We start from the raw sequence: 23,239 nt of genomic DNA, 5'->3' as shown, positions 1-23,239 counted from the left end.
TTTTATATTTTTTTGTAGAGACAGGGTTTTGCCACGTTGGCCAGCCTGGTCTTGAACTTCTGACCTCAGGTGATCCGCCTGCCTCGGTCTCTTAAAGTGCTGGGATTACACACGTGAGCCACTATGCCTAGCCTGAATGGTTTTTTTATATTTAAAGTTGTTGTGTGCCTTTCATCTGGAGCTACACCTTGGCTATCACTAGGCAGGTTTCCCAGGATGTCACCCTGGTCTCAGCCTGTGAGAGCTGAATGCAAATTCTAAGGGCCCCTTGGAAAGTTCCAGGGAAAGGAGCATAGCGAGGTTGGGGGTGGAGTTTGTAGAGACTGGCTGGCTGGCTGCTGACATCTTCATGAGAACAGCAGGTACCTTGGTGCATAATAACAGGCCAGGTTATATTCTCATCCTTGCCCTCATAAAGATACAGGTCTACAGTCTCTGAAACCTTTGGGCTAGATAAGTTGTGAAATTTAATTACCCAATTTTCGGAAGGTGGTAAGGCATATCTACTATGTGTATGTGTAGCACCCCAGTGGAGTCCTACACATGTGGAGTCCTACCCCAGTGGAGACCAAACATGTTAATATTTCCACAGCAAATATTCACAGTAAGAGGGATAGAGAAAGATTATAGGTAGTTGCATATTGATTCATATCAGTCTTTTCTTCCAAATGAGCTACAATGACTCATTTTTGAGAGCTGTTTGGGTTTTTGAAGTGGAGATAAGGCACGGTTATGTCTTGATGACCCAATAATGACCGGGGAGGCCCTGTGCAAAGACTTACCCTTGGCTGCTCTTGTCCTCACAGTGATTCTATGAGGTCCTCTAGCCACTGTCATGTCACAGGTGAGGAAACCAAAGTTGGAGGATGAAGGTAACTTTTCTGATGTCGCGCAGCTGGTAAATGGCAGAGCTGGGACCCAACCCAGGTCTTTTTGACTCTAAAGCTAATGTTCCTTATTGTCCACTGAATCTGCTTTTATAACTTTGCTTGGTCGATGCTAGGACACTTTGTAGCTCACTGGCCATGCCATGAATTGAGTGCCGTGGTTCAAAGGCCACTGGTGATTCAGTCAAGGCAGGCTCGAGGGCACACAGCCATTTCCTTAGGAAATGGGGATGGTGGTTGAAAATTTCTATTAAAGGGTATATAAGCATTCTGAGACTTGGCTGGCCAGGTGTAGGGGGTTTGTTGGGAATTTAGGTGGTTTGCATGTTTAAAGGAATAAGACTGAGATTGCCAATTAGATGGGTTTTAGCTCATTTGAATATTTAATGTGGAGGCTGTGGTTTCCTGGGACATTTTTCCCACTGTGGAGAGTTAGCCAGCTTTTCTCTGTTGCTTTTTTCTTTTTTCTTTTTTTAATCGAGATGAAGGTGACAATCATCTTATGCTTGTCACCCAGGCTGGAGTGCAATGGTGCAATCTCAGCTCACTGCAACCTACGCCTCCTGGGTTCAAGCGATTCTCCTGACTCAGCCTCCTGAGTAGCTGGGATTACAGCCACCTGCCACCATGCCCAGCTAATTTTTGTATTTTTAGTAGAGATGGGTTTTCACCATGTTGGTCAGACTGGTCTTGAACCCCTGACCTCAGGCAATCCACCCACCTCCCTCCCAAAGTACTGGGATTAGAGGCATGAGCTACCATGCCCGGCCGCCCTTCTCTGTTTCCAGAGCATTTTGTATTAACTCCCTCTCATGATATCTTCCATGGCAGGCTGAATAATGGCCCCTCCAAAGTGTCCTCAACTTAATCCCCGGAATCTGTGACTATGTTCCTTTCCATGACAAAAGGGACTTTGCAGATGTGATTAAGCATCTTGAGATGGGAACTTATCCTATGTTGCCTGTGGGCCCAGTGTCCCATCACAGTGCTTTTTTTTTTTTTTTTTGAGATGGAGTTTTTTGCTCTTGGTGCCCAGGCTGGAGTGCAATGATGCAATCTCGGATCACTGCAACTCCACCTCCCAAGGTTCAAGCGATTCTCTTGCCTCAGCCTTCCGAGCAGCTGGATTACAGGTGCTCGCCAACATGTCCAGCTAATTTTTGTTTTTCCAGTAGAGATGGGGTTTCACCATGTTGGCCAGGCTAGTCTCGAACTCCTGACCTCGTGATCTGCCCACCTTGGCATCCCAAAGTGCTGGGATTATAGGCGTGAGCCACCACATCCAGCCTACAGTGCTCTTTTAAGAGGGACTCAGCAGTCAGGGGAGATGGCAATGCGATGGTGACTGAGTGTCTTAGTCTTTTTTGTATTGCTATGCAATATCTGAGGCTGGGTAATTTATAAAGAACAGGTTTATTTCTTAGAGTTCTGGAGGCTGGGAAGGTCAAGATCAAGGGGCCTGCTTCTGGTGAGGGTCTTCTTGCTGTGTCATCCCATGATGGAAGGTATCACATCAAGAGAGAAAGGGGGCTGAACTCAATACTTTTATTAGGAACCCATCCCCATGATAATTAACCCTCTGCTGAGATAACATTATTACTCTATTAATGAGGGAAGATCTTTCATGACCTAATCTCCTCTTAAAGGTCCCACCTCTCAACAGTGTTGCATTGGGGATTAAATTTCCAACACATGAACTTTGGGGGACACATTCAAACCATAGCACTGTGCAGAGATTGGAGTGATACGCTTTAAAAATGGAGGAAAGGGCCACAATCCAGGGAATATAGGTAACCACTAAAAGCAGAAAAAGGCAAGAAAACGGGTTTTCCCTTCAGAACCTCCTGAAGGAATCAGTCCTTTACAACTTGACTTTAGCCAAGTGAAACTGATTTGAGGCTTCTGAACTATAGAACAATAAGATATTAAGTCTGTGTTGTTGTAAGCCAATCAGTTCGTGGTAATTTGTTACAGCGGCCATAGAAAACTAACTGACTCACCAATGGGAGAAATCAGCTGCTGATTGAAGGTTACCAAACATCTACTTCCTTTCCTAACGTCACTTTAATTTTATCTTGGAGGAATTCTTTTCCCTACCCCATTAAGTTATGGGAGATGGGGCCAGGCATGGTGGCTTAGCAATCCCAGCACTTTGGGAGGCTGAGGCGGGTGGATCACTTGAGGTCTGGAGTTTGAGACTAGCCTGGACAACATAGTGAAACCCCATCTTTACTAAAAATACAAAAATTAGCCAGGTGTGGTGGTGGGCACCTGTAATCCCAGCTACTCCAGAGGCTGTGGCATGAGAATTGCTTGAACCTAGGAGGCAGAGGTTGCAGTGAGCTGAGATCGCACCACTGCACTCCAGCTTGTGTGACAGAGTGAGACTCCATCTCAAAAAAAAAAAAAAATGTTATGGGAGAGGATGGTAAAGCTAAGTATCTTTTGCACCTACTCCCCAGCCCCACCACTGCAGAAGCTGAAGGGGTTCCTAGAGGCTTCTTCTGCCATGGAGCTGTTCCCACTGGCCCCTAGCTAGAGGTGGGTGTAGGACTTTGAAACATGAACAAATGGAGCTGGGATGGCAATGGCGGGAACAATATTGTGCTAATCTGAACTCTGCACTTCCTAACTTTGGCTCTTGGTAAATTACCTCAAATTGCTGAGCCTTTGTTTCCATATTAATAAAATGGGTGCGGTAAGAGTACCAACCTCTTCTATGCTGTTTGGAGGAGGCAGGTCATAAGGTACCTGGCATGTGGTAGGGGATTCATGAATGTTGGCTTCTATCATTAAGGGTGGGGGAGCCACATAAGTAGCCAGAGGGAGTCATAGAAAGTTCTTGAGCCAGAGAAGTAAGATAATCTTTTCAGCTTTTTGTGCAGCATAAAAGGCGGGTAATTTGCTTGCCTTTGACCAAGGAAATGTGGGACGTGCCAGGCCTGGGGTGAATGGTGGGAACCCAAGTAGAGGGATATTTCTCATTGGCTGAATTAACTGTGATTCCATTTTGCGGAGCAGCCAGGTTGCTTCATGGTGGACCAGCTGCATGCCTACATGATGGTGCCGTGGATAGCTCTTGTTTGTGCCAGCCCTGTGTCTGATACCTCTTGTGGTAATTGCATCCCTATTTTTCAGAAGGAAGCATCCCTCCTCCCACTTTCTGGTTTTCCCCATGTCCTTCTGGAGGGGATGACCCCAACTGCTTCCTGAAGGGGCTTCATGAAAGCCAGGTCTGGCCAGGCTGGATGTGGTGATTGGCTCAGGCAGGGCATGTGGCCCAAACGGGTCCAGTGAAAGTCAGTCCTGGGACTTTGGCTGGGACTATTGGGGAACAGCCTCTGCTTTCTTGCGCAGATGTGAGTTAGGAGCTGCTCAGGCCACTATGTGGAAAGAATTGCATGAGAATGAAGTAATCAAAGGGAAGCAAGCACAGAGAGATTAGAGAGACTTATCTTGTATAAGTGCCTGTATCCAGCTATGCCTGAAGTGAGGTACCACCCCAGGCCTTTTCAGTCATGCTATCAGTTTTGTTCCTTTTTTCTGTTTTCCTCTTGGTGGAGTTATTTATTTTTTCCTTGTTACTTGAATAAGAAAAATACGAAACTAGAAGGCTGGGTGCAGTGGCTCACGCCTGTAATCCCAGTACTTTGGAAGGCCAAGGCAGGTGGATCATGAGGTCAGGAGTTTGAGATCAGCCTGACCAACATGGTGAAATCCTGTCTCTACTAAAAATACAAAAAAATTAGCCAGGCGTGGTGGTGCGTGCCTTTAATCCCAGCTACTCAGGAGGCTGAGGCAAGAGAATTGCTTGCATCTGGGAGGCGGAGGTTGCAGTGAGCCGAGATCGTGCCACTGCACTCCAGCCTAGGTGACAGAGCAAGACTCCATCTCAAAAAAAACAAAAACAAAAACAAAAAAACAAAACAAAAAAAAACCAGACTAGTAAATGCAACCATTTACAAATCCCAAGAGACTCTTGAAGATTCTTTTTGTTAGTAGGGAAAACATTCTCCATTTTTCTGCCAACTTTAGGGTTTTCAGAGAAGTTTGGGGGAGAGAAAGGAAAGCAAAGAGGTGGGAAGAAAGAGTCCTTGCAACCCCAAGTTGGGCGAACTCCTCCCAGCTACTTATACCACAGGGTTTTGGGAGCAGAGCCCCTTTCATTAAACTTTCAGGATTCTTGGATGGATAGGGTGGGAATTACACCAGTGAAACTCAGCTTTGTGTGTGCCAGGCATTGGGCCCTGGGATATGCAGTCATGTGTTGTATAATGACATTTTAGTCAATGACAAACCACATGTAAGTCACTGGTACCATAAGACGATTATGGAGCTGAAAAATTCCTATTGCTTAGTGACATAGCCATTGTAATGTTAGGGTAATGCATTTCTGTGTTTCTGGTGATGCTGGTGTAAACAAATCTGTGCTGCCAGTTCTATAAAAGCATAGCATGTACAATTACATACAATATATAATACTTGATAATGAACAACTATGTTACTGGTTTATTTTATGTTTTTGAGACAGAGTCTTGCTCTGTCGCACAGGCTGGAGTGCAGTGGCGCAATCTTGGCTCACTGCAACTTCTGCCTCACAGGTTGAAGCGATTCTTCTGCCTCAGCCTCCTGAGTAGCAGGGAATACAGGCACCCACCACCACGGCCAGCTAATCTTTGTATTTTTAGCAGAGATGGGGTTTCACCACACTGCCCAGGCTGGTCTCAAACTCCTGACCTCAAATGATCTTCCCACCTCAGCCACCTGAAGTGCTGGGATTACCCACATGAGACACTGTGCCCAGCCCTGGTGTATTTAGTGTTTTTCATAATTTTAGAATGTATGTCTTCTACTTACATTAAAAAATAATTAACTATAAAACAGCCTCAGGCAGGTCCTTCAGGAAGTATTCTGGAAGAAGAAGGCATTGTTATCACAGGAGAGGACATCTCCATGCATGTAATTGCCCAGGCGGGAGTGCAGTGGCACGATCTCGGCTCACTGCAACCTCCGCCTCCTAGGTTCAAGCGATTCTCCTGCGTCAGTCTCCTGAGTAGCTGGGATTGCAGGTGCACACCACCATGCCTGGCTAAGTTTTGTATTTTTAGTAGAGATGAGGGTTTCACCACGTTGGCCAGGATGGTCTTGAACTCCTGACCTCAAATGATCTGCCTGCCTCGGCCTCCCAAAGTGCTGGGATTACAGGCGTGAGACACCACGACTGGCAAAATTTTTAAGATACATTTCAGTAAGCTAAGGTGAATTTATTGAAGAAAAGCTTTAAAAAATTTTGGTGTAGCCTAAGCATATGGTGTTTATAAAGTCTACAGTAGTGTACAGTAAGGTCCTATGCCTTCACACTCATTGACTCATCCACAGCATCTTCCAGTCCTGCAAGCTCCTTTCGTGGTAAGTGCCCTATACAGGAGTACCATTTTAAATTCTCTTATACTCTATTCTTATTGTACCTTCTCTATGTTCAGGTACACAAGTACTTACATTGCGTTACAACTGCTTATGGTACATTCAGTAAAGTATCAGGCTGTACAGGTGTGTAGCCTAGGAGCAATAGGCCATACAGCCTAGGTGTTTAGTAGGCTATACAAGGCTATACAAGGTTTGTGCAAATGCACTTTGCTGTTTGCACAATGCTGCAGTCACCTAAGGAGGCATGTCTCAGAACCATCCCGTGATTAAGAGAGGCATGATCGTACAGTCATCATCTCCCTGAAAGCTCAGTCAACCCTGTGCAGTGCTACTGCCACACTCCCCTTTTGCACATGTAGAAATCAAGGATCTTTGGCTCCTCTGAGTGACTTGTTCAAGGTTTCTCAGTTTCCAAGAGATGGAGGCGGGACTTGAATTGAGATTTCCCTTTCTTGAGAACCTGTGGTCCTTAACCATTAAAACCACTTAAGAGATCTTCTCTCTTGATCACTACCTACTAAGTGCTAGGCGCGGTGCTGAGGCGTTCTCTTGATTATGATATTGAGTCTTTAGATTTCGGAGAAACAGGCCGAGCGCGCTGGCTCACGCCTGTAATCTCAGCACTTTGGGAGGCCAAGGTGGGAGGATCACGAGGTCAGGAGATGGAGACCATCCTGGCTAACACGGTGAAACCCCACCTCTACTAAAAATACAAAAATCAGCAGGTGGTGGCAGGCGCCTGTAGTCTCAGCTGCTCGGGAGGCTGAGGCAGGAGAATGGCGTGAACCCGGGAGGTGGAGCTTGCAGTGAGCCGAGATCGCGTCACAGCACTCCAGCCTCGGTGACAGAGCGAGACTGTCTCAAAAAAAAAAAAAAAGATTTAGGAGAAACAAGTTCCGAAGCCCTGACCCTAACACGCAAGTGTTAGTGGAGATGTGGGACTTCAACTCAGCTTCTCCGTTGAGTCGGCTGTCTCCGGGACGCAGGCACCTGCTTGCACACCTCCACGGTGGCGATCCCGCCCCCTTAGTAGCGTCCTTAGCTGGGCACTTCTTGCAGGGAAGCTCCTCTTGGCCCAGACCCTCTTCCTAGGCCCCACGTGGTGGGGGAAGCGAAAGGGGCAGTGTGGGGAAGTGGCCGAGGGGTCGGGTCCGGGGTGGTCTGCAGAGAGGCAGGCGGCGGTGCCCAGCCGGGAACCACGCGCTCACCCGCGGAGTCGGACGGGCCCGGCGGGGGTGGGCGAGACACTGGGAACAGCGGCCAGCTCCAGAGGGGCGAGGCGGGGCGCGCGGGGAGGGAGGGGGGCGCGGCGAACGCGCGCGTGCGCGGTTCGTGTGTGGGCCCGCGGGGGCGCGCGCGGCTGGGGGGCAGTGAGGGTCGCCTCGGCGGCGAGCAGCACGGCGGGAACATGGCGCCCGGAACTGGCGCGCGCGCCTAGCTGGCGGGACCGTTAGCTCGAGGCGGACGCGGCCCGGACCCGGTGGATGTGGAGCAGTCGCCGCTGCCGGCGCCCAAGCCGACCCCAGGGCCGACCCCCGCAAGGAGCTGAAGGAGGTGGGAGCCCCAGTCGCCGCGGGCGTCGGCGCCGGTGAGTGCGTGAGGGGCTCGGGCCGGGAGACTTTCTTTGTGAAACTCCGGCGGTGGGAGCCGGGCCGGGCCTCAGCGGCTGAGGAGTGCCTGTGAGGCGGAAGGCGTCTGGCAGTCCGGGTTCCATCCCAGCCGCTAGCCGTCAGGCGGCGGGACCTGGTCCGCCGCCTGCCTGCCTCAGTTTCCACGGGAGTGTGTGCGGGTGTGTGAGGGTGTGTATGGGTGTTGGCCTGTGCACACCGGAGGGGGGGTCGGTATACTGTCAGCGCCTAATGCGCGCGGCGCCTCCCCCCTCCCCCCAGTCCCCGTGGGGCGGAACCTGGGGACTGGAGTCCACCGGAGTAGTAGGCGGCACCCGCGGGGAGACAGGTGTCCGCGCAGCCCGGGAGGCTCAGGTGCTACCTTTCCCTGGTGGGGTTTGTGAGGAGTGAGCTCTTCGTTCCCAGAGGCGAGCAAGTCTGTCGGTGGCTCATCACAGAGCGCTGTTTTGGACAGCGTTCCACCCACCTCAGCTTCGTGCTGTGTTTGGGCCACTAGTCAGGGGGAAGGATGCTGAGCGACATGGACTTTAGAGGTGGGGCCCCCGCTGGACGGGATGGGTCTGGGCTCTCGAGCTTACCCCCACCCTTTCCTCCCAAACCCGTTAGAGCGTAGGAATCATTGGGAGCACCTGATAAAAATGCCACGGATTGTGGCTCACCTAAGCAGGGAAGCCGATTTGGAACTTAAACAAGCTCCCAAGTTGTGATCAGTCGAGCTTGGCAAGCACTGTTTGAGAGAGTAGGCTTCCCGCAAGCAGGAGCCGGTTTTGTGTATACCTCACCATGGCATCTTGGTACCTGGCATGGTGCCTGGCACATGGTAGATGATCAGAAAATATCTGTAGAAAGTCTAAATTATTAGGGAGAGTGCAGCATAGGAGTTCTTGAGACATTTTCAGGAGCTTCTTGAGATTAATATCTGTCAGATTTGTTTTACAGTATATTTTTCTCAGCTCCCAACTTTTGTGATTGTTTTTAATGCCATGTTTTCAGTATGTTCTAGGCAAAAGCAGGGTATATGTTGCTTAGTATACACTATCGACTAGGCCGGTTGTGGTGGCTCACTCCTGTAATCTCAGCACTTTGGGAGGCAGATTGCTTGAGCCCAGGGGCTTGAGGCTGTAGTGAGCCAAGGAGTTAGAGACCAGTGTGGGAAACATAGTGAGGCTCGTCTCCGCAAAAATTAGCTGGGTGTGGTAACGTGCACTTGCAGTCCCAGCTACTCTGGAGACTGAGGTGGGAGGATCGCTTGAGCTCAGGAAGTACAAGTTGCAGTGAGCCAAGGTTGTGCCACTGCATTCCATCCTGGATAACACAGCGAAACCCAGTCTCTTAAATAAGTAAATAAATACATAGATGATTATGTATACTCCAGCTAGGTTAAAATTAATTCTGAATCAAAATTCTAAATTAAAATATGCATGTTTCTTTGTCTTCATCATTTGAGAACACTAGGCTTTTAGGATTTCATTCCGTTGAGGCAGGTAAATATCTACATTTTTGACAAAGCAAATATGAATTACTGTTAATTCAAGAAAGGTGGGAATTTGCTTAAACCTGAGTATTTGTAGTCTCTGTGACTTTTTTAAATTTTAAATTTAAATTTTCTTTTTTTTTTCTATTTTTTTTGAGATGGAGTCTCACTCTGTCGTCCAGGCTGGAGTGCAGTAGCACAATCTCAGGTCACTACAACCTGCACCTCCCGAATTCAAACAATTCCCCTGCCTCAGCCTCTGGTGTAGCTGGCATTACAAGTGTGTGCCACCACGCCCAGCTAATTTATGTATTTTTAGTAGAGAGGAGGTTTCACTGTGTTGCCCAGGCTGGTCCCAAACTCCTTGACCTCAAGTGATCTGCCCACCTTGGCCTCCCAAAGTGCTGGGATTACAGGTGTGAGCCACAGCACCTGGCCTTATTTTTATTTTTTTGAGACAGACTCTCAGTCTGTCGCCCAGGTTGGAGTGCTGTGGCATGATCTCCACTCACTGCAACCTCCACCTCCCAGATTCCAGCGATTCTAATGCCTCAGCCTCCTGAGTAGCTGGGGTTACTAGACCCGGGTAATTTTTGTTGTATTTTTTTCGTAGAGACTGGGTTTCCCTATGTTGACCAGGCTGCTCTGGAACTCCTGGCCTCTAGTGATCCACCTGCCTCGTCCTCCCAAAGTGCTGGAATTACAGGCATGAGCCACTGCCCCCAGCCAATCTTTGTGATATTTTGAAATTGACGTTTATATTTTATTCAGAGTCAAAGCTAAAATAGAATTGTTTGAAAATTAATATTTCAGGAACTATTTTTTAATTAAGTTGAATTTTATTTTATTAGTTTCATTTCAGTAGGGTTTTAACCTAAAAAATATATATATACATACACACATATATGCGTATATACATATACGCATATATGCGTATATGTGTGTATATACATATATATATATATATATATATATATTTTTTTTTTTTTTTTTTTCCTGAGACAGAGTCTTGCTCTGTCACCCAGGGTGGAGTGCAGTGGAATGATCTTGGCCTCACTGCAGCCTCCACCCTCCCGGCTCAAGCAATTCTCCTGCCTCAGCCTCCCAAGTAGCTGGAACTACAGGTGCCCACCACTACACCTGGCTAATTTTTATATTTTTAGAAGAGATGGGGTTTCACCATGTTGTCCAGGCTGGTTTTGAACTCCTGATCTCAAATGATCTGCCCTCCTTGGCCTCCCAAAGTGCTGGGATTACAGGCGTGAGCCCCCGTGCCTGGCCTAAAAAATATTTTTAAAGGCAGGATCTAGCTATGTTGCCTCAGCTGGTCTTGAACTCCCAGTCTTGGCCTCAAGTGATCCTTCTTCCTCAGCCTTCTGAATAGCTGGAAGCACAGCTGTGAGCCAGCACACATGGCTTTTTTTTATTTCTAATAAAAAAGTTAATAGAGTTTCTTGTTTCACTGGACAAAATATGCATATATAGGAAGGAAAGACTTTTGGACTTGAGATTGTGCTGAAGAAGAAAAATGGAAAAATTAAGCATTTTAGTCTCAGTGTGTTATTTTTGTAGCTTATACAGATATGTCTTTTTAAAGTGTCTTTAAAAAGCTTTATTGAGATAAAGATAAATGAGATAAATGCACCTACCATGAAATCAACCCCTTGAGTGCAGAATTTTGTGGTTTATAATATGTTCACAGAATCGCACAAACAAGACAGGTATCTAGATACTTTCAGACCATTTTCATCAGTCCACAAGAAATCCCATACCCATTAGCAGTCATCCTTATTCCCTTTTCCCCTAGTCCCTGGCAATAACTAGCTTACTTTCTGTCTCTGAGTTTAGCTGTTCTGGAGATTTCACAGAATGAAATCTTACTACATATGGTCTTTTGTGATTGACTTATTTCACTTGGCACAGTGTTTTCAAGGTTTATCCATGCTGTAGCGTATATCAGCACTTCACTCTTTTCTAATGCTGAGTAATCTTTTGAATGGATATACCATATTTTATCAGTTCCTCTGTTGATAGGCACTTGAGTTTTTTTTCCAATTTTTGGCTATTATGAACAATGCTGCTATGAACATTTGTGTACAAATTTTAGTGTGGATGTATATTTTCATTTCCCTTGGGTATATCCCTAAGGAATACACTATCCGGGTCATATGATAATTGTTTGAGACTACAGGCACGTGCCACCACACCTGGCAAATATTTAAAATTTTTTTGTAGATAAAGGGTCTCGCTATTTTGCCCAGGCTGATCTTGAACTCCTGGCCTCAAGAGATCCTCTCACCTCAGCCTCCCAGAAAGTGTTAGCATTACAGATGTGAGTCACTGCACCTATAAAAGGGGCTCATACCTCTTTTTATGTATTTTTTTTTTTTGAGACAGGCTTTCACTCTGTTGCCCAGGCTGGAGTGCAGTGGTGGGATCACAGCCCACTGCAGCCTGGACCTCTCTCCATATGATTCTAGCTTTGGGTGTCTTTCCTGTAGTTTCTATTATGTTGTGGTATGTTTCTTCTGTACCCGTTTATTTGAGGATTAATAGCATGAAGGGATATTGAATTTCATCAAATGCTTTTTCAGTTTCAGTTGACATGATCATACTGTTTTTGTCGTTTATTTGGTTGATATGATGTATCACATTGTATGTTGAGTGACCCTTGCATCCCAGGGATACATCCCACTTGATCATGATGAATTATCTTTTTAATGTTTTACTGAATTTGATTCACTGGTATTTCGTTGAGGATTTTTGCATCAATATTCGAGATACTGGCCTGTAGTTTCCTTCTTTGATGCCTTTGTCTGATTTTGGTATCACAGTAATAATGGTCTCATAGAACAAGTTTGGAAGTATTCCCTCCTGTTTTTCAAAATAGTTTGAGTAGGATTTGTACTAGGTCATTAAATTGTTTGGTGTGAAGCCATCAGCAGTGAAGACATCAGTTCCTGGGCTTTTCTTTACTGGGAGACTTTTTCTGATGGCTTCAATCTCATTACTTGTTACCAATCTGTTCTGGTCTTGGATGTTTTCATTGTTCAACCTAAGTAGGTTGTATGCATCTAGGAATTTGCCAATTTCTACTAGGCTTTCCAATTTATTGGCATATAATAGCCAGTTATGATCCTTTGAATTTCTGAAGTATTAGTTGTAATGTCTGCCTTTTTTAATCTGTTGATTTTATTTATTTGAATCTTGTCTCTTTTTTCTTAGTTAGCCTGGTTAAAAGTTTGTCAATTTTGTTTTGCTTTCCAGAAAACCAACTTTTCATTTCATCTTGTGTGTTTTTTCTTTCAATTTTATTTCTGCTATGATCTTATTTATTTTTCTTATTTTTGGTTTAGTTTGTTCTTACTTTACTAGTTATTTAAGATGTATTGTTTATTTGAAGTTTTTCTTTTGTTTGGATGGTAGGCACTTATAGCTGTAAATCTCTGCCTTTGTACTGCTTTCTGCATAACAAGTTTTGGTATACTGTGTTTTCGTTACCCTTTGTTTCATGAAATTTTTGAATTTCTGTCTTAGTATCTTCATTGACCCGCTAGTCATTTATTCAGGTGGGTAGTGTTTAACTTCCATGTGATTGTATTGTTTCCAAAATTACTCTTCTTATTGATATCTAGTTTTATTCCTTTGTAGTCAAAGAAGATGGCCACGGAGATAGCAGCGTGGTCAGAGTGGTAGGAGCTGGTCATCGGCGAGAGCTGCTCCATGTCTGGCTGCTGAGTGCTAGAGCCTGTGGCCCACTGGCTTGCCTCACTATGGTTGGTGGTGGCGGTGACAGAGACTGCAGCACGACCAGAGTGGTAGGACAGGGGCTATCCAGGGCTGCACCTTTCACAGTGTGGGGTGGGTTGGGGGTGCTATCCAGGGTGTCATTGCCTGCATTAGGGGTACTGGTTGGTAGCACTGTACAGGGCTGCACTTCCCATGGCAGGGAGGGTGGGTTATGGGCACTTTCTGGGGCTGCAATGCCCATGGAGGAGGACAGGTTAGGGCACTATCAGGTATACGCTACTGGCGGCATTGGGGGATGGAGGTGGGGGGCGCTATTGAGGGCAGGACTAGCCGTGGAGTGGGGGCGAGTTCAGTGCTATCAGGGGCTGCACTGCTGGCAGTGGTCAGCAGAGTTGGCATCCAAGGAAGGAGTGGTTCTCCTCTCCCTGACTCCACACTCCAGAGGGCGACCCACTCTTGGTCATACTGGAATGCGGCAGGCACGCAGCATTTGCGTGGGAATCCTGAGCACGGCAGAGCCCCCACACCCACCATGGTTCCTGGGCCTGTGCACTCTGGGTCTGTGCCTCAGAGGCTGCCAGGCACCCCTGGGGACACCACGGGGGACAGGGCCCTGTGTGTGGAGGCGTCTGGAACAGGAATTGGCACCTGGGTGCAGAGGGCTGGCTGGGTCTGAATTTTTCTGCTTCTCCTGCTCCCCGAGGAGTGCAGCCCCGGTGGGCCCAATGGTTCCTGTGGAGTGGGGAGCTGGGTGCTGTGGTGTCTCCAGCACCCTCCCCAGACCCCAGTTCCTGGCCAGCTTGGACCAAAAGGAGAGGCTGGACTTTGGAGGGTGGGTGTGAGTGCCTTTGCTGAAACTGGCCCCTGCCACCCAGTGGCCAGCATGACAAGTTGAGGCTCTAACCCTTCCACCCCTCACATCTTCCTCTAGGCTTTTCTGGCTTTGCCCACCCAGCTGCTCCATGCCAGGAGGAGGAGGAGACACCTAGAGCCTGCGACACCACGACTTGCCTCACTGCGGGTGGGTGGCAGCGACAGAGACTGCAGTGCGCCAGAGCGGTAGGAGAGCGGCCGCGCTAGGAGGGCAGGCGGCTGCAGCCAGGGTTGGGGCTCAGGCTTACAGCGATGGACGGGCTGCAGCAGTGGCCAGGTGGTAGGAGCCTTGTAGGGAAGGCTGGTGCATTGGCAATGGGCCTGGCTTTGCCCTGCATTGCCCTGTACCTGCCCTACTGTTACATGGACTGTCTCGGCCCTGTCCTGCTCTGGTCCCATCCTGACCCTGTCTTGGCCCTGTGCTACCCTGTCCCTGCCCTGGTCTTGCCCTGGCACTGGCCCTGCCCTGAACCGGCACTGGCCCTGCCCTGAACCTGCACTGGCCTGACCTTGGCTCTGGCCCTGGCTCTGGCCCTACCCCTTGTCCTGACCCTGGTCATGTCATGGCACTGGCCCTGCCAGTGGTCATGGTCCTACTCCTGTTCTGGCCCTGACCTGGCCTTGGACATGTCCTGGTCTTGCTTTGGCCCATCCCTGCCCTGGCCCTACCATGGGCCTGCCTTTTCTGCCTTCTCCTGGCACTGACCTTGCCCTGTCATGGCCCAGTGGTGCCATTGCCCTGCTTTACCCTGCACTGGTTGTACCTCGGCCCCGCTTGGTGCTGGCCACTCCCTGGACCTGCCCAGACCCTGCCTCGACTTTTGCCCTGCCCTCACTACGGCCTGGCCCTGGCCCTAGCCCTGGTCCTGCCATACCCCTGGCCCTGCCCTTATCCAGGCCCTGCCCCTGCTGCTGCCCTGGCCCTGGCCTGGAACCTGGTCCTGTCAAGGACCTGCCCTGACTCTGCCATGGCCCTGGCCCTGCTCTGCCTTGTTCCTGGCCCTGACCCTCTCCTGGCTCTGCACTGGCCTTTCCCTGGCCCTGAGCTGGCAGTGGTCTGCCCCTGGTCTGGCCATCACCCTGCCCTGCTGTGCTCTGGATGTGTCATCACCCTGCCCTGGCCCTACTCTGCCTTTGACCCTGCCCTGGCCTTACCTTGGCCCTCACCCTAGTCTTCGCTAGGCCCTGCTCTGGAGCTGGCCCTAGCACAGACCTGGCCCTGACCCTGGCCCTGGTCTTTGTCCTGCCATAGCCCTGGCCCTGAAGTGGACTTGGAGGTGTCCTGGCCCCGGCGTAACATGGCTCTGCATTGGCCTGTCCCTGCCCTGCCCCTACCATTGCCTTGCCCTGCTCTGCCCTGTCCCAGTACTGACCCGGCCATGCTATTTCCCTGCCGTACCCTGCCTTGGCTGTGCCCTGGCTCAGTTCTGGCCCTGGGCCCGGCCCTGCCCTGGACATGTTCTGACACTGCCTCAGCCTTGGCACTAGCCTGGCTCTTTCTTGGCATCAGTCCTGCTCTCTCTGTGGACCGGCTCTTGTCCTGTCCTGCACTGGCCATACCATGCCCTGCCCTGCCCTGCCCTGACTCAGCCCTGGCTCAGCCCTGGCCCAGCCTTGGCCTTGGCATTGCCCCTGGTCCTGCCATATTTCTTGCCCTGTCCCTACCCTGGCCTTGGCCCTGACCCTTACCTTGCTCTGGCCCTGCCCTTGCCCTAACACAGCCCCTGGCCCTGTCATGGCCCTGCCCTGGACCTGTCCTGGCCCTGTCCTGGCCCTGGCCTGGCCCTGGCCCTTCCCTGCTTGAGACCTTGCCCTGGTTCTCCTCTGGCCCTGACCCTGAAATGCCTGGCCCTACCCTGGCCTTGCACTGCTCTGGCCCTTGCCCTGACTCTGGTCCTGTCACTGGCCTAGCCCCAGCCCTGTTGCTGGTCTTATCATGGCCCAGACCCTGCCTTGGCCCTGCCCTGACACTGTCCTGGACCCTGGCTGTGCCAAGATCCTGCACTGTCCTTGCCCTTGTTTTGCTCCTGCCCCAAACCTGGTCCTGCCCAGGCCCTGGCCCTGGCCCTCCCCTGGCTGTTCCCTGGCCCTGCCCAGGTCTTGGCACTGGCCTGGCCCTGCCCTGCCTTGGCCCTATGCTTTCCTGGCCCTTCCTTGACGGCCCTGGTCCTGCCTTGGCCCTAGCCTGGCTTTGACCCTGCCCTGGCCCTACCTTGGCCTTCATCCTAGCCTTACCTGGGCACTGTGTTGTACCTGGCCATAGCGCAGACCTGGTTGTGGCCCTGGCCCTGCCATGGCCCTGCCCCAGACCCTAGCCCTGCCAGGTACCTGTCCTGGCCCTGCTCTGGGCCTGGCTTTGTCCCTGGTTCTTAGATGACCCTGGCCCTGCCCCTGCCCTTGTCCTTGCCCTGGCACTGGCCTTGGACATGTCCGTGGTCCTAACCCTGGCCCTGTCCTGGAGCTGCCACTGTCGTGGCCCTGCCCCGGCCCTGGCCCTGCCCCGGCCCCAGCCATAGACCTGCCCTGGCCCTGCCCTCCCTTTGGCCCTGCCCTGACCCCGCCTTGGCCCTAGCACATACCTGGTCCTATCTGTGGCGTTGGCCTGGCATTGACCCCTGCTCCTGACCCTACTCCTGCCATGGCCCTTGCCCTGCCAATGACCCTGACAGCCCTGGCCCTGGCCCTGTCTTGGCCCTGGCCCTGAACTGGCCCTGCCCTGACCCCGGCCCTGAATTGGATTTGCAGGTGTCTTGTCCCTGATTTAACCTGGCCCTACCATGGCCCTGTCCCTCTCCTGGCTCTGTCCTGGTCTCGTGCTGACCCTGACCCAGACCTTGGCCCTGCCCCAGCCTTGTCCTTGACCTGGCCATGGCCCTGCCTCTGCCCTGGACCAGCGCTGTCACTGGCATGGACCCTGGCCCTGGCCCTTTGCTACTTAAGGCCATACCCTGTCCCAGCCCTGGTCCTGACCCTGTCCTGGCCCTAATTTGGCCTGGCTCTACCCTGGCATGCTATTCTGGCCCTAGCCCTGACCCTGTCCCTGTCCTGGCCCTAGCCCCATTGCTGGTCCTGCCATGGCTCTTATCCTGACATTGCCCTTTCCTGGTCCTGGCCCTGGCCCTGTCCCAGCCCTGTTCTGGCCCTGGTCTGAACCCTGGCCCTGCAATGGACCCTCCTTGGTCCTACCCAGACCCTGGTTCTGGCCCTACCTCTGCCCTGGCTATACCTTTGCCCTGGCCTGGACCCCAGTACTGGTCCTTGTCCTGCCCCAGCCGTGGCCCCGGCCCCGCCCTGCCTGTGCCCTGTTCTATCCTGGGCTGGCCCTGCCATGGCCTGGTCTTGCCATTGGCCTGCCCTAGCCTGCCCTGCTTGTGCCCTAGATCTGCCCCGGCCTTTGCCCCTGTCTTGGTTCCAGCCTTGACTCAGCCCTGGACCTTCCCTGACCTTGCCTCAGCCCTGGCACTACCCTGGCCTTGGCTTGGCATTTGCCCTACTCTCTCTATGGCCTGGCTCTGGTCCTGCCCTGCTCTGCTCTTGTTCTGTCCTGGCACAGCCCTGGCCCTGCCGTATCACTGGCTCTGGTCCTGCCCTTATGCAGGCCTGCCCCTGCCCCTGCCTTGGCTTTGGCCTGGACCTTGGCCGTACAGTGACCCTGCCATGACCCTTTCCTGGCCCTGGCCTGGAACTTGGCCCTGCCAAGGACTCGCCCTGGCTCTGTCATGGCCCTGGCCCTTTCCTGGATTTGGATGTGTCCTGTCCCTTATTTGCCCCGGCCCTTCCCTGGCTCTGCCATACCCCTTCTCTGGGGTAGGGCCAGGGTCAGGACCAGGGTAGGGCCATGGTAAGGCCTGAAGATGGGAAGGGCCGGGGCAGCGGCAGGACCAGGGAAGGGTCAGGGCCAGTGATGTGGTAGGACTAGGGGCAGAGCCGGCACTAGGGCTGAGCCGGGGCAGAGCAGGAGAGATTACATTAGGCTATCACATAAAATTTTTATTTTAGATTTTTAAGATAACTATAGTAGTGGTAATAATGTCTATACTATGTTGTTTGTAATAGTAATAATATTTGCAGTAAATAATCACTAAATTTTAACTAATACTATCTTTGCTTCCAGTAGTGTTCTATGAGTACAATTTTATCAATATGTAAATATGTGAGGCATTGATTCTCACAATAATTCTAGGTGCTAGGTACTTAAAGCATCCCCATTTTCCAAATGTAGGAAACAGGCATAAAGAAGTTAAATACTTGGCCAGATTACTCCTGTAATCCCAGCACTTTGGGAGGCCAAGGCAGGCAAATGGCTTGAGCTCAGGAGTTTGGAACCAGCCTGGGCAACATTGTGAAACCCCATCTCTACTAAAAATGCACAAAAAGAGCTGATTTAAGTTTCTTATAGGATTCTGGTTATAAAACACTGGTCAAACACACAGGGCATGGATAGGGCAGGGCCAGGGACAAGGTCAGGTCAGGAAGGGGCCAGGGCCAAGGCAGGGCCAGAGCTGGACTTGGAGGTGTCCTGGTCTGATTTGCCCTGTCCCAACGTTGGCCCAGCCCTGCTCTGGCACTTCCTGTCATGCCCTGTCCCTGGTCTGAGCATTGGCCCTGGCCCTGTCCTGCTTCTGGCCCTGCCCCAGAGTTGACCAGGCACTGCCATGGCCCAGTCCTGCATTGCCCTGCCCTTTTCTGCCCTGGTGCTGCCATGGCCCTGCTTGGGCCCTAGCTCTGCCTCGACTCTGGACCTGCCCTGACTCTGCTCAGCCCTGGATCTACCCTGACTCTGCCTTGGTGTTGCCCTCCCATCTCTATGGCCTGGCTCTGGCCCTGCCTTGCACAGGCCATGCTCTGCCCTGCATGTCCCAGCCTGGGCCCAGCCCTTGCCCTACCATATTTCTGACCCCACCCGTACCCTTGTTCTGGCCTTGACCCTGCCGTGGCATTCTCCTGGCCCTTCCTTGGTCCTGCCCTGCCCTTCCATGCCCTGGCCTTTCCCTCACCCTGCACTGGTCCTGCCCTGCCCTGGCAGTGCCTTGGCCCTGGCCCTGCCTTCTCCCTGGCCTTGCCCTTTCCCTGCCCTGGCCTGACCCCAGGCCTACCGAGTCCATGAAATGACCCTGGACCTGCCTTGCCATCATCTGTCCTGGCCCTGTATTGTCCCCACCATGCTCTGGTCCAGCGCTTACCCTGGCCCTGTTGCTAGTCCTGCCACTGCTATGGCCCTGCCCTGTTTTTGGCCATGACCTGTGCTACCCTAGCCCTGCCCCGCCTTGGCCTTGGCCCTACCGTGGCCTTTTCCTACCCTGGCCTGGCCGTACACTGGCCATTTCTACCCTGGCCTTGCCCTTCCCTGGTCTTGCCCTGCCCTGGCCTTGCCCTGCCCTGGCCTTGGCTTTGCCTTATCCTGGTCCTGGTTCTGCCCTGGCCCTGCCCTTTCTCTGGATCCTCTCTGGTTCTGCCTTCTCCCTGGCCCTGCCCTTGCTCTGGCCCTGTTCCTGGCTCAGCCTTGACCCTGGCCCTGGCCCTGACAATCCCCAGGCCGCACACTGGCCATGCTTGGCCCTGGCCCCTCCTTTGGCCCTGCCCTGGCCCTGTGCTATCTTAGTACAGGGCCTTGGCCTTGGCCCTGTGCTATCTTAGTCCTGCCCTGGCCCTGAACTTGCCCTGGCCCTACCCTCACCCTACACTGGCCCTGCCCTGGCCCTGCCTTTGGACTGCCCTGGCTCTGGTTCTGCCATGGCCTTGCCCTTGCCCTGGACCCTCCCTGGCCATGTTTTTACTGTGGTCCTTCTCTGGCCTTGCCCTTGCCCTTTCCCCTTTCTGGTCCTGCCATGTTTCTGGCCCTGCCCTGTCCATGTCCTGGACCTGACTCTGGCCCTGGACCTCCCTGTCCCTGCCCTGCCATACCCTGGCCCGTTTCTTGCTCTACACTGACCCTGCCCTGCCTTGGCCCTGTGCTACCCTAGCCCTGCCCTGGCCTTCTGCTGGCCCTGATCCTGCCATGGCCCTGGCCCTGCCCCTGCCATGTCCCTGCCCTGGCCCTGGTTCTGCCCTACTTCTGGCCCTGGCCTTGGTCCTCTTATGTCCCTGGCTGTGACCCTGCCCCTGGTTTTTCTCTGGCCATGACCCTGCCCCGGTTCTGTCCTATCCCTGGCCCTGTCTCAGTTCTGTCCTAGCCCTGGCCTTTCACAGTACTTTATGCTTAGTAAGGGCTCCATAGTGTCTGTGAGTTGAATGTTGTGTTCATAGTATCTGCCAAAACAGAAAGAAAAAAAACAAAATCTGAAGATGAGAAGTTAAAGCTTTGTATATAATATGCCTTGAATTGTAAGTGCTTGTTATTAGTTGTATTACATGTAGGTCATGGTTTTGTACACATAACTCCAAACCATTGATACTGTTAAAAGAATATATGAATATATGAAAGAATATATAAACGTAAGAATGTATGAGTATCTAATGACCTCTCCAAACTAATTTTTATTTTTAGCTCTATTAGATTTTTTCTCAGTGTAACAAATGTTTATTCCTATGTAATTAAGGGCATATTTCCTGTACAGAATATTCATATTACTTAATTGAAAATTATATAATGCAAAAATATAATACTATTTTTAGGCCAGGCATGGTGGCTCATACCTGTAATCCCAACATTTTGAGAGGCCAAGTTTGGAGAATCATTTGAGTCCAGGAGTTGACCAGCCTGGGCAACATATTGAGACCTTTTCTTTATTAAATAAATAAATAAGTAAATAAATAGGATGGGCACTGTGGCTCATATCTGTGATCCCAGCATTTTGGGTTGCGAAGGCAGGAGGATTGCTTGAGCCCAGGAGTTTGAGACCAGCCTGGGCAGCATAGCAAGACTCCATCTCTACAAATAATAAAATATTAACCAGGTGTGGTGGTGCGCACCTGGGGTCCCAGCTACCTGGGAGGCTAAGGTGGGAGGTTTGCTTGAGGCTGCAGTGAACTGTGAATGCACCACTGCATTCCAGCCTAGGCCACAGAACAGGACCTTGTCTACCAATAAATAAGTAAAAATATAAATAAAAATAAGTAAAAAGAAATATAAGTAAATATAAATATAAATACATATAAATATAAAAATGAATACATGAAAACAATTTTTAAATTTAACATCACTGAGGGCATCCTATCCATTTCATTTCATGATTCCATTACATCATTTCACTTAGATGAAGTGATAAGGTTACTTGAGATGAGATGAAATGATGAGATGAAATGATGAAATGATGAGATGAAATGATGAGATGAAATTTTGAGATGAAATGATGAGTAGAAATGATGAGATGAAATGATGAGATAAAATGACAAAATTGAAAAGAAATTGAAAGGAGATGAGATGACATGAAATGAGATGATGGATGAAATGATGAGATGAAACGAGATGAAATGATGAGAAGAAATGAAATGAAATAATGAAATGAAATGATATGAAATAATGAAATTGAGATGAGATGAGATGATATAATGAGATAAAATGATGAGATGAAATGAGATGAACGATAAGATGAAATGATGAAATAAGATGAGATGATAAGACGAAATGATGAGATGAAATGAGATGAAAAATGAGATGAAATAATGAAATGAGATGAAATCAAATAATGAAAGGAAATTATGAAATGTAATGATGAAATAATGAAATGGCAATGATGAGATGAGAAGAAATGATGAGATGAAATGATGAAATGATGAGATGAAATGAGATTAAATGATGAGATTAAATGATGAGATGTGATGAAATGAGATGAAATGATGACATGAAATCAGATGAAATAATGAGATGAAATGATGAGATGAAATGATGAGATGAAATGAGATGAGATGAAATGTGATGAGATGAAATGACATAATGAAATGAAATAATGAAATGAAATGATGAAATGGAATAATGAAATGGAAATGATGAGATGAGATGCAATGAGTTGAAATGATGAGATGAAATGAGATGAAATGATGAGATGAAAAGATGAGGAGACGAGATGTGATGAAATGATGACATGAAATGACATAAAATGAGATGAAATAAGATGTAATGAATGAAATGAGATGAAATGATGAGATGAGATGAAATGGTGAGATAAAGTGATGATATGAAATGATGATATGAAATGATCAGATGAATGATAAGAGGAGATGATGAGATGAAATGATGAGATGAAATGAAATGAAATGAAATAATGAGATGAATGATATGAAATAATGAAATAAAATGAAATTGAAATAAAATTGAAATGAGATGAGATGAAATAAGATGAAATGATGAAATAAAATGATGAAATGATGAGATGTGATGAGATGAAATGATGAGATGACATGACATGAAATAATGAAATGAAATAATGAAATGAAATTGAGATGAGAAGATATGAGATGAGATGAAATGATGAGATGAAATGATGAAATGATAAGATGAAATGAGTTGATGAGATGATGAGATGAAATGATGAGATGAAATTAGATGAAATGAAATTAGATGAAATGTAATGAGATGAAATGAAATGACATAATGAAATGAAAAAATGAAATGAAATAATGAAATGAGGTGAAATTAAATGAGATGATGAAATTAAGTGATGAAATAATGAAATGGAAATGAAATGGAAATGATGAGATGAGATGAAATGATGAGATGAATGATGAGATGCAATGATGAGATGAAATGATGAGGTGAGATGTAATGATGAGATGTAATGAAATGAGATGAAATGAATGAGATGAAATGAAATAATGAAAGGAAATTGAATTGAGATGAGATGAGATGAAATGATGAGATAAAATGAGATGAAATAAGAAATGATGAGATGAGATGAAATGATGAGATGAAATGAGATTAAATGATGAGATGTGATGAAAGATGAAATGATGACATGATATGATGACATGAAATCAGATGAAATAATGAGATGAAAGATGAAATGATGAGATGAGATGAAATGTGATGAGATGAAATGACATAATGAAATGAAATAATGAAATGAAATGATGAAATGGAATGATGAAATGGAAATCATGAGATGAGATGCAATGAGTTGAAATGAGATGAAATGATGAGATGAAAAGATGAGATGAGACGAGATGTGATGAAATGATGACATGAAATGACATAAAATGAGATGAAATAAGATGTAATGATGAAATGAGATGAAATGATGAGATGAGATGAAATGAAATGG

General features: G+C 48.9%; 1 long non-coding RNA gene across 1 annotated transcript in view, besides 1 other annotated feature; it reads left to right on the top strand.

Moving 5' to 3' along the window:
- The first annotated feature begins 7,247 nt into the window (after positions 1 to 7,247).
- The window catches only part of LOC105371191 (translation initiation factor IF-2), a 32,299-nt gene continuing 16,307 nt past the window's right edge, over positions 7,248 to 23,239 (top strand). Inside the window, exons 1-5 of the long non-coding RNA XR_005647012.2 lie at positions 7,248 to 7,300; positions 7,407 to 7,642; positions 7,711 to 7,902; positions 13,068 to 13,234; positions 14,098 to 14,225. This is a non-coding gene — a long non-coding RNA (translation initiation factor IF-2). The remainder of the gene's footprint in view (positions 7,301 to 7,406; positions 7,643 to 7,710; positions 7,903 to 13,067; positions 13,235 to 14,097; positions 14,226 to 23,239) is intronic.
- Positions 7,466 to 7,965: an enhancer, noted in NCBI's record as "H3K4me1 hESC enhancer chr16:32359969-32360468 (GRCh37/hg19 assembly coordinates)". NCBI's record gives its function as "activates a minimal SCP1, AML or CMV promoter by ChIP-STARR-seq in naive H9 embryonic stem cells {active_cell/tissue: H9 hESC(naive)}" and the evidence as "EXISTENCE:reporter gene assay evidence [ECO:0000049][PMID:30033119]".

The sequence above is a fragment of the Homo sapiens genome, chromosome 16 (genome assembly GCF_000001405.40).
Source record: "Homo sapiens chromosome 16, GRCh38.p14 Primary Assembly".
Lineage (NCBI taxonomy): Eukaryota > Metazoa > Chordata > Mammalia > Primates > Hominidae > Homo > Homo sapiens.
This window is presented reverse-complemented; position numbering and strand designations above follow the sequence as displayed.